Source organism: Homo sapiens, chromosome 1, assembly GCF_000001405.40.
Source record: "Homo sapiens chromosome 1, GRCh38.p14 Primary Assembly".
Taxonomy (NCBI): Eukaryota; Metazoa; Chordata; class Mammalia; order Primates; family Hominidae; genus Homo; species Homo sapiens.
The window spans coordinates 243513792-243525964 of NC_000001.11; the positions used below are offsets into that span (position 1 = coordinate 243513792).

At 37.8% G+C, this 12173-nt stretch overlaps 1 protein-coding gene across 11 annotated transcripts in view; it reads right to left on the reverse strand.

The window, feature by feature from the left end:
* AKT3 (AKT serine/threonine kinase 3) overlaps positions 1-12173 on the reverse strand; it is a 362847-nt gene that overhangs the window by 25559 nt on the left and 325115 nt on the right. Inside the window, exon 14 of one of the 11 annotated variants that reach the window (XM_047415643.1) lies at positions 11657-11789. The exons of the other annotated variants lie outside the window; for them this stretch is intronic. Coding sequence (XP_047271599.1) covers positions 11672-11789 — 118 coding nt within the window. The 3' untranslated portion in view covers positions 11657-11671. Of the gene's footprint in view, positions 1-11656; positions 11790-12173 lie in introns of those variants that run through there. 11 annotated transcript variants of the gene reach the window in all.

Below are 12173 nucleotides of genomic sequence, written 5' to 3' on the forward strand. Positions count from 1 at the left end.
AAACAAACTCCTCCACCAGTGGCAAGGAGAAGCCTGCCATTGTGCCAGACCATATTTCTTTCTAGCTGCCCTGCTGGATCCCCTGGACATGAGCAAGCAGGTCACTCCACTGCTAGAAACCCTCCCTCTGACTCTCAGGCTAAATTCTCCACACCAGCCTCACATATCACATGCACACGCACAGGGAACCCCAGAGGTGACAGAGGCTGGAACAATTTTGTTTTTTTTATTTTTTTTAGAAAACCAAGGGGGTAATTGCCCCTATCTGGCAGAAAACGGGAAGACTGGAATTCTGGTTGGGTTTTTCTGATTTACTATTCTACAGATGTTCACAAAATAGGTCTTTATCTTTCCAATCAGAAGTTAACCACAAGAAATTCCTGTGGCTGGAATCGGCTTCTCTTGGGCACTAGGAGTAGGTTTGCTCACCTCTGCCCCATCCTTTTCATCTGGTTCTTTGTGATGTCAAAAATTTAAATTTGCCTTCAAGTTAGGGGAAACTTGTCCTTTTAGATGAGAGAATGATGACCTGTAACTTTAACAAACTGAAACCTATCTTAACACAGTTTTCAAAAGATTATAGGGGAGCTTAAAATAGTCTCTGTTTCAAATGCCACGTGTACTGAGGACTTTCCTGACCGCCTTCTTACATTAAACAGCTATCCTCCCCCTCACTTTCTATCTTCACATTGCTTTTTCTTCAAGACTTTGCGACATCTGATACACAGGCACGTATACATGCACACATATGATATACATGTATTTGTTACTGTCAATGTTCATCACCAATAAAATATAAGTTCCACGAGGGCAAGGACTTTAAAAAAAAGTTTATTGATGCGTAATTAACATACACTAAACAGCACACATTAAGAATATACAACTTGGGCTGGGTGTGGCAGCGGGCGCCTGTAGTCCCAGCTACTTGGGAGGCTGACGTGGAAGGATCACTTCAGCCCAGAAGGCAGAGGTTGCTGTGAGCCAAGATTATGCTATTGCATTCCAACCCGGCCGGGGCGAACGAGTAAAACCCTCTCAAAAAAACAAACAAAAAACATGCAACTGATACGTTTTGACATATGTATATACCCATGAAACTGTCACCAAAATCAAGATGATGAAAACATCTACCACTTCAAATGTCTTCTTGTGCCCATGTGTACTTCCATCCTCCCATCCCCTGCAGGCCATGACTGACATACTTTCTGCCATGACTGATTTGCTTGTATTTTAAAGAATTTTATGCAAATGGATCATAGAGTATGTACTCTTTATCTGGCTTGTTCATTTAGCATTATTACTTTGATATTCATCCATGTCACCACATGTATCAATAGTTTACTCACTTTGCTGGGTAATATTTCAGTACATAGATGTATCACAATGGACACACTCATCTGTCAATGAACACAGGGCCTGCTCCCAGTTTGGGGCAATTACAAACAAAATTGCTATTAACTTTTATGTCCACGTCTTTGTGTAGACATATGATTTAATTTATTTAGGACAAATACTAAGGAGTGGAATGGCTGGGCCGTATGGTAGGTATACATTTGACTTTTCCAGAAACTGTCAAATTGTTTTCCTTTACCATGTTAAAAAAAAAAAAAACCCAATTCCTAATTCACTCAGAGCGTTTCATTTTTTGTTTAAATAAGTTTTAAAAAGGATGGATTTTTCTTAGTTTTTTCTTTGCATCATTTGATATAATCATTTCCTTCGTACTCTGTTAATAGGTGAACTATAGTGATTGGTTTTGAATGTTAAATCAATCTTATATTCCTAGAACAGACCACACTGGTAGTGATTCTTTGTATCTATTGTTAGATTTGATTTGCTAAAATTAAATTAAACATTTTAGCATATATATTCATTAAGAATATTGGTCTATAGCATTCTTTTAAAAATCTCTTTGCGGGCCAGGTGTGGTGGCTCATGCCTGTAATCCCAGCACTTTGGGAGGCCGAGGCAGGCAGATCACCAGGTCAGGAGATCAAGACCATCCTGGCTAACATGGGAAACCCCCGTCTCTACTAAAAATACCAAAAATTAGCCGGCTGTGGTGGCAGGTGCCTGTAGTCCCAGCTACTCGGGAGAATGGCATGAACCCGGGAGGCGGAGCTTGCCATGAGCTGAGATCGCGTCACTGCACTCCAGCCTGGGCGACGGAGCAAGACTCCATCTCAAAAAAAAAAAAAAATCTCTTGCATATTGATATCAAGTTAATACCTGCCTCACAGAATGAACTGAGAAATGTTCTCTCATCTTCAATTTTCTGGAATAATTTGTATAGAACTGATAATATTCCTTAAATGTTTGGTAGACTTCGTTGGTGAAAATATGTGGGTCTGGTGTCTTTGTCAGAAGGATCTTAACCACAACTATAATTTCTTTAGCAGGTACAAGGCTATTCATGACATCTATTTCTTCTTGGTAATTTGTATCTTTCAACATATGTGTCCATTTCAGCTAAATAGTTGAATTTATTGGCATAAAGTTATACATAATGCTTCCATATTATCCACTTAATACCAATAGAATCTGTAGCAGTGTCAACATTTATTATTTGTCTTCTCACTTTTCTTTTCAGTCAGGTGAGAAATACATCAATTTTAATGATCTTCTCAAAAGCCCAGTTTTCCTTTCATCAATTTTCTCTATGATTTTTTGTTTTCTATTTCATTGATTGCTATCCCAATCTTTATTTCCTTTGTTCTGCTTACACTGTGTTTAACTTGTTCTTATTTTTCTAATTCCTTTTTCTTTTTCTTGTTTTTTAGAGACAAAATCTGGCTCTGTCACCCAGGCTAGAGTGCAGGGATGTGATCATAGTTCACTGAAGCCTCAAAACTCCTGGCCTCGAGCAATCCTCCTGCCTCAGCCTCCTGAAGCAATCCTCCTGCCTCAGCCTCCTTGAGCAATCCTCCTGCCTCAGCCTCCTGAGCAGCTATGACCACAGGTGCACACCAGTATGCCCAGCTAATATTTTGTTATTTAGAGATGGGATCTCACTATGTTGTGCAGACTAGTCTCGAACTCCTCTACCTTGGCCTTCAAAAGTACTGAGATTATAGTTGTGAGCTACTGTGCCCAGTCCTAGTTTCTTAAGATAGAAGCTAAGGTCATTAATTTTACACTTTTCTTCTTTTCTAATGTTTAAAAATATCTTTTAGTACTATAAATTGTATTTAGTACTATAAATTTAAGTATTGCTTTAGCTGTATATCACAGCTAAACACATTGTGTTTTCGTTTTCAGTCCATTCAAAATACTTTCTCATTTCCCTTTGATTTCTTCTTTGATCCATGGATTAATATTTAGTTTCCAAGAACTTGGGGATTTTCCATAGATCTGTGTTTTTTTAATTTCATTTCCTTCAAAGAGAAAATGTTTTACAGTACTTAAATCCTTTAAAATTCATGGAGTTGTTTTGCTCAACATATGGTACACTGTGATAAATGATCTGTGACCTTGAGAAAAATAAGTGTTCTTATGCTGTTGGGTAGCGTGTTCCATAAATGTCAGTTAGATCAAGCTGACTGATAGTATTGCCCAAGTTGCTATATAACCTTACCAATTTCTCTCCAATTGCTGTATCAATTATTTGAAGATGGATATTGAACTGTCCAATAGTAACTGTAAATGTGTCTATTTTTCCTTATATTAGTTTTTGCTTCAAATATTTTGTTTTGTTATTAGATGCATAACTAAGACGGTTAATACTTCTTGATGAAATGACTCCCTTAATTATTATGAAATGTTCCTCCTTATCTCCAGCAATATTACTTGCTTTGAAATCTACTTCATATGATTTAATATAGCACTCTAGTTTTCTTCTGATTAGGTTGAGCATAGTATATAATTTTCTGTTCTATTAATTTTAATCTACTTATATCTTACATTTAAAGTTGGTTTCTTATAAGCAGCATATAGGTAGTTCTTGCTTTTTACCAAGTCTAATCTCTGTCTTTCAATTGTGGTGTTTAGAACATTTACATTTAATGTGATTATTGATACGAGTAAGATTAAATTTACCATCTTGCTATTTGTTTCCCACTTGTCTCCTCTGGAACTTTGTGTTGCACTAATGTGATATTCCCAACTCCTAAAACAGTCCTTGCCACATAGTAGCATTCAACAATATTTGCGGAATAAATGAATCAATCATTCAGTCTTGCAGCTGAGTAAGACGTCAGTGAGCATGTAGTGTACCTTTTTAGAGATCAGGAAATTAAAGCTGACACTGGTTAAATGGCTTGCCAAAAATTATACGAATAAGAACTGGAGCGGCAAAAACCTAGGTTTCTTGATCTCAAGGTCTTTTTACTGTAGCATTTACAATGTGAAGGCTTTGAATGAAAACTACTTTTGCTTTTGATTGTTTCTCTATACATTAGTCAAGATATTCATTCTAGGAAGCATTATTCCCCCTTCCACTTCCCCTGTCCCTGAAGGTGAAGACAACTCAGTGGAATATAAACATTTGTAGGGAAGCAAAGACCCTACATTATGTATATGGGGAACATTGTCGGGTAGGGCTTGTAAAAAATTGCCTCAGTATGGCTGGGTGCAGTGGCTCATGCCTGTAATCCCAGCACTTTGGGAGTCTGAGGCAGGCAGATCAGGAGTTTGAGACCAGACTGGCCAACATGGTGAAACCCCATCTCTACTAAAAATACAAAATTTAGTTGGGTGTAGTGGCACATGCCTGTAGTCCCAGCTACTTGGGAGGCTGAGGCAGAAGAATCACTTGAACCTGGGAGGTGGAGGTTGCAGTGAGCCGAGATCATGCCATTGCACTCCAGCCTGGGTGACAGAGCAAGACCTCGTCAAACAACAAAAAAAAACTGCCACAGTACTTGAACAGAAGCAGTCCCACAAAAATCATCAGAATGCCCCAACTTCAGATTTCATTACAAATTTCTAGAATATATAATATTCTTGAGTAGTCTTCATAAACTTTATGGAAAATGTGTATTATGAAAAAACCATGCACAGATTTCAAAAAATTTCTGCACCAAAATTAACTCATACTGATTTGTTATAACATGACTGTACAGGATCAAGTTTGAGGGACTAAGAAGGATAAGACATCAGTTTGGACAGAGCCCCTGTAAGAGCAACATGAATTCTAAAATTGAAGCAAGAACAAACATGAAATTCATGGTGAAGCTTGGGTGGAAGAATGATTAAATCACTGATGCTTTATGAAAAGTTATGGGAAGTATGCCCCAAATAAATCAGCAGTCTAAAAATGGATAACTTATTTTAAGAAGGGATGAGACAATGTGGAAGACGAAGCCAGCAGCGACAGACCATCCACATCAATTTGCAAGGGAAAAAATTAATCTTGTTTGTGCCCTAATTCAAAAGGACCAATGATTAACAGCAGAAACAACAGCCAACACCATAGACATCTCATCTGGTTCAGCTTACAGAATTCTGACTGAAAAATTTAAGTTGAGCAAACTTTCCACTTGATGGGTGCCAAAACCATTGCACCCAGATCGGCTGCAGACAAGAGCAGAACTTTCAATGGAAATTTTAAACAAGTGGAATAAAGATCCTGAAGCATTTCTTTGAAGAATTGTAACAGGAGATGAAACATGGTTCTATTAGTATAATCCTGAAGATAAAGCAATGGGTATGAAGAAGTGGAAATGGTCCAGTCAAAGCAATATTGGACAGGTCAAGGGCAAAGGTCATGGCAACAGTTTTTTGGGTGCTCAAGGCATTTTGCTTATTGACTTTCTGGAGGGCAGGAGAATGATAACACCTGATTATAAGCACTTGGAGAAAGTTGGCCAAAGCTTTGGCAGAAAAACTTCTGGGAAAGCTTCACCAGAGAGTCCTCCTCCACCAAGATAATGCTCCTGCTAAATCCCTCTCATTAAACAGGGGTATTTCATGAGAGCTTTCATGAGAAATCATTAGGCATCCACCTTACAGTCCTGATTTGGCTCCTTCTGACTTATTTTTCCCCTAAACTTAAAAAAGCTTTTAAAGAGTATTAGTTTTTCTTCACTTAATAATGTAAAAAAAAGACTGCACTGATATAGGTAAATTACCAGGATGTTCAGCTCTTTAGGGATGAACTAACTAGCTGGTATCATGGCTTACAAAAGTGTCTTGAACTTGACGGAGCTTATGTTGAGAAATAAAGTTTATATTTTCTGTTTTTATCTTTTAATACCATTTTCCATGAACTTTTTGAAGTCCCCTCATATTTACTTTAAACAACAGCTGAACAAATTTCAAATATTGTATTATTATAGGTTGAAATGTGTCCCTCCAAAATTAGTATGTTTAAACCCTAACCCCAAGTACCTCAGAATGTGACTCTATTTGGAGATAAGGTCTTTAAAAAAGTAACTGCATTAAAATGAGATATCAGGATATGTCTTAACTCAGTCTGGTATCTTTACAAGAAGAGGAAATTTGGACACCCAAGTAGACACACTAAGGAAAAACCATATGAAGACACAGGGAAAAGACGGCCATCTGCAAGCCACGGACAGACACCTCAGAAGAAACTAACCCTGCCTGCACCTTGATCTTGGACTTTCGCCAGAAATATGAGAAAATGAATTTCTGTTGTTTAAACCACCCAGTCTGTGGTATTTTGTTACAGCAGCCCTAGCACATAAATACATTAATTTCCTATTTCAGCTTTAAACCAGTATCTTCATCTCTTCTTTTCCTCTAACCACATCTCTCAAAACATTTCTGTCAACTGACTGAATGTAAATTCCCATTTAGAAAAGATAGTCATATATATTTCTGTAAATCTCAGCTACTTTTATGGATCAACTCAATGAACAGCTATAGTGTCATTAACTGCAAACAACATATTTTTCTGACAAATGCACTAAACTTGAAACAAATCTTTATTTGAAAACCAATTTGCTTTCAGAAAATGTAGTATTCAGTGATCTTAAACAAGAGGATAAAGTTTCTGGGTTCAAGACATCAATTTCATCTCACTGAAAATATGCAACTTCAAGTCCGTATGGTGACAGCAACGTTGAAGCTCCCTAAATTCTTTCCACACTGATCTTTTATCAAATTTTAAATGCTATGAAATCACTCTACCATTTACTATCTTCCTAAAAGTGTCAATGAAAGAACAAAGAGATAATTTTCTGAAGGTTGTTAGAGTAAGTCACATTTGGTATTTCTGGTATGGCTGGAATGATTCCATGAGTGTATGCATGAACACCAAGGTCTCTGAAGGTAAGAGATTCCACAGACCTTTTTTAGTAACAAGTCACGTGCTACTATCAGATATCTATATTCTTTCTTCTATTGTTCCTTCCAGGGGCTTAAGAAATAGACTGGAGAACTTGAAACTTTCTGGGACAGCTGATGTGGACAGTGATTGTGGTATCTTAATTGCCTTAACAACTGTGGTTATTTCCACCACTTTGTGTTGGCATATAGGGTCCAAAATCCAGTGAACATAGATGTTTGCAGTAAAGAATTGCCAACACTATTGCATGTTTAGATTTCCCAGAGACAGTAATCTGGTGCTATAATTTTCACTTCTCTGAAACAACATGAGAAAGTAGTCAATCATAGGTGGAGATTCTGGTTTATTTAATCTCTACTAAATACTGGCTTCACGCTTTGTGTATATGTAGGTGTGCATGTACTGGAAAAGCAGGAGTATAAAAGAGGATTTATTTCTAACAAAACTAATGGGTATGTGGCATACATTATTTAGTTACTTTGTATGCTAAGCTGTGCCATACCAATGAATTCTTCTTGACATAAAACTAGAAACTAAAATAATTATATTTCATTTTTACAAAACTACACAGTAATAATTGAAGTTCATGCTGTTAATCTTGTGCCTACATAAAATGTACCAAGGGGCCCAAGGTATATAACAAATTAATATACCACTATTGTATCGTAATATTAGACCTGCCAAAATGAGTACTTTAACTATAAAAGACATTAAATGTTTAATTAATACATCTGCTTTCCTTGTTGGAATTCTGAGGGGTTTGTTAACACATGATATGGATGATTTGCATTACTTTAAAAAGTAATCCCCAGAAACTGGAACTTGTATTTTCTTTTCTGTGATAAATTTTCTCATTCAAAAATAACTTCATAAGCACTCATCCTATTGACTGTAGGTTTATGCCCAGGTGATGTTATTCACAAACATCCATAGATACGATACATTATTTGAAGATCTCAGTTATACCTGGAGAGGATTCACCTATAAATTACAACAAAAGGGCTCTCATTAGTGAAACACTGGGAGCCTTTTTAAAAGGCATGAGAGGGTAACAAAAAGATTTTGCACCTAGTAGTGTTAAAGGACAAGTTGCATTTATTATAACTATCAGAACTTCACTAAGAGCCTAGTGAAACAATCTACTTTCTCCCTTCTTCAGCTGATTTTATAGGCTCTGTCCAACATCAGCAGTGTGGCAGCCATTAATCACTATTTCTCTTAGAAATATTCAAGAACATGAGCAAAAGTTGAATAAGTATGCAGACTGGGGAGAAATGACATAAAGGCAATTTCCAACTTACAAGCTAATTTTGTTATAAAAGCCTATATATGTAAGGCTGGGCACAGTGGCTCACGCCTATAATTCCAACAATGTAGGAGGCCAAGTTGGGCAGATCACTTGAGGCCAGGAGTTCAAGACTAGCCTGAGTAACATAGAGAGACTCCATCTCTACAAAAAAATTTAAAAATTACCCAGGTATGGTAGCATGTGCCTGTGATCCCAGCTACTTGAGAGGCTGAGGTGGAAGGTTGAGGGTGAAGTGAGCTGTGATTGCGCCACTGCACTCCCCTGGGTGACAGAGAGAGACCCTGGCTCAAAAATTTAAAAAAGAAAAGAAAAGAAAAATGCAGCCTACATATAAACTGGAAAAAACTTGGGACCTGTTTCAATAGATACACACACATACACAGAAAGGCTATATAATGTAGGTAGGTTACTAGGCAGTAACATTAAGGTCTATTAAACCAGAAATAAATAAAAAATATAACATTAAAGCTTCTAACAAGTATCTATTATTTTTATAGAGAAATTCCTATTATATTTCTGTAAAGATGACGTGACCAAGACCCTCTCTCTCTCTCTGTCCAGGTTCTAGCACTGACAGCCACAGCCACTCTCTTAATACCACACCAGATGAATGCTGGAGAGACCCAGTGATAGGGAACATTTGGGTTGGGGGATGAACTTGTGGTGAGAAGGAAAGATAGGGGCTTTAAAAGCTGAGGAGGAAGAGGTAGAAGGTCAATTTGAGGCATAGGGGCAGGCAGCAATTTCTATGTTCTGCAAGGAAGCTATTGGAGAAAAGAACCTGTATTTATCCAGAGCTACTATGCCCAGGTGCTGTACTAATTAAGTGAATGCAGGAAACCAACTGGAATTTTATGAAGGACACAGAAGATGCAAGCTATGTTTTGAAGCTCTGGCTCCAAAAAGGACGAACACACACACACACACACACACACACACACACACACACACACACACACCTTTCAGAAACCAATTGGATATCCAAGGCTCCCCTTGCAGGTTTGTACTGGGCAGCTAAACATCAGAACAGGAACAGGCAAAGAAATCACAAGTAGTACTTCCTGTTAGCCTGGTAAACTCTCAAACAGGACTTTAAATGATCTGAAATACTCTATTCCCTAAAAAGAAAAAAGAAGTATGTTTTTTGAGCATCTCTTCAATGTGTCTTTAAACTGACAAAATATTCACATTGAAAATAATCTTATAGATCTAGTCCAATCCCCTCATTTTAAGATGAAGAAAACACTGAGCCCCTAAATATTCATACTAAAGTCATACTAAAGCATCACAATATCAACCACCACCCAATTAATTTTAATCCAATCCTAACTGCAGCTTCTATAACAGGTCCTTTACTCTTAAAATCTGGGTCAGGCAACCTCTGAAATACTTCTACCACCTCTGAAACACAACCCGCATCACATGAAAATGTAAATCGCCTGCTTATTTATCTGTCTCTTCTACTAAACTGTAAGCAACCGTTTGAAGACAGGGACTTTATCTTAGCTATCTCTGCAAGGCTAGCTGTTGGCACAATACTTACCATAAACTACAGTCATGTGTCACTTAATGACAGGGGTCTCTTCTGAGAAATGCATGTTAGTTGATTGTGTCATTGTCAAACATCATGGAGAGTACTTACATACAAGCCTAGATGGTGTAACCTACAACACACCTAGGCCATATGGGATGGCCTACTGCCCTAGGCTACAGCCCTGTACACGTTACAGTGCTGAATACGGTAGGCAACTGCAACACAATGGTAAGTATTTGTGTATCTAAATGTAGAAAAAGTACAGTAGAAATACGCTATTATAATCTTATGGAACCACTGTGGTATATGCGGTGTGTTGACTGAAGCATCATTATGTTGTGCATGACTTACAGAAAAGCACTAAATATTTGGTGAGTAAAGACAAGAAAATATTCACAGGAGGTTCTTTGGTGTTTTGGCCACTGGTGCCAAACACCAAGCACCAGCCTCTGCTGACTCCTGAACCATACATACCAGGCACCAGCCTCTGCTGACTCCTGAACCATGCATGCACAGGGAAGCCTCCAAGCTCCCTAGTGAAGTCTAAAAGGCATTGTCAAAAGGTAATGAAATTACACGTTCTCTAAAAAGAGGTCTGAATTTGTTACTGAGAATTGGGACAAAAGAGAAGGGGAACAGCCATGAATTATGTTTTGGCTGCACTGAACTAACCATAACATTCACTGGTAATTCACACTGTTTAAATAAGCTCTCTCACACAAGCTCTTTAGAAGGTTGCACAAACGTGAATCTGTGAGATACTTCCTTGCATGAATACAAAACACTGCTGTGCCACATGAAGAAAAGGTGTACATCTGGCATGCAATAATGCATAATTAAGAACAAATACTCAGTTTCACTTACAATCATGGTCAAGCAGCTCCGATTGGATTAACCCTCCTCCATATAACTGTAACCTCAGGAGAAAGACATGAAAACAATCTAAAGGTTCTGGGAAGCAACTAAAAACAGGCAGGTACTAAAGAGGAGGTGGGCACTAGGAATAAGGAATGGCACCAAATGAATTTCTCATTTTTACGGCTTTTTGCCTGAAGGTGGGCCCCAGCTTATGCCATTTAGGGTAAAAATCTTAAATTAGAAACCCACAGTTCTACTGCCATGAACAATCAGAGGACAGAGCTTGAACAAGTACAGCAGCTTTTAAGTGAAGGAGGTGAAATTCCAGAAAAGAGGCAGCCAAAGAGAAGAAGCCCTAAAATCTCAGTATAAAGTCTGCCCAGATCTCTGACTCTTGAACCACACATGCACAGGGCAGGCTCCAAGCCTCCTAGTGAAGTCTAAATAAACCAGCCTGGAATCTTAACCCACTGGAAAAAAGAAAGCGTTTGCAGTTTGAGTTCATCCATGATGACTGGCCTAAGAAAATAAAAAATTCAGTATTCTTTGCTGCAACCTAACCGAATTCAGAGGCACAAAATACCAGTCACAATGCCCAGGATATATTCCAAAATGACTCAGCATTAAAAAAACAAAGGAAACAGAACCCATACACTAGAAAAAGACATCAAAGGAAACTGATGCTCTGATGATCTCATGTTGAAATTAGTAGACAAAGACTTTAAAGCAACTTTATAATTATCTTCAATGACGTAAAGTAAAATATGTTCATGAGTAAAAAAGTTGAAAATCTCAGCAGAGACACAGAAACTATTAGGAAAAGGACCAAATGGAAAAACCTAAAATAAAAAAAAATAAAATATCTGAAATAAGAAATTCTCTCTATGGGCTTGGAGCACATTGGAGATTATGTAAGAGTCAGTAAACTTGATATACCAGCAGAGATTATTATCCAATTTGAATAGCACAGGAAAACAATGTGAAAAAACAAGCAGAACTTCATACCTGTTGGACAACTTCCAAAAGTAAGAAAGAAAGAAAGAAAGAAAGAAAGAAAGAAAGAGAGAGGGAGAGGGAGGGAGGGAGGGAGGGAGGGGGAGGAGGAGAGATAGATAATAAGACAGAAAATATATTTCAAGAAATAATGGCTAAAAGTTTTCCAAAGTTAAAGAAGGATATGCAAGAGATTCAAAAAGCTCAGGCAACTCCAAGCAGAATAAATA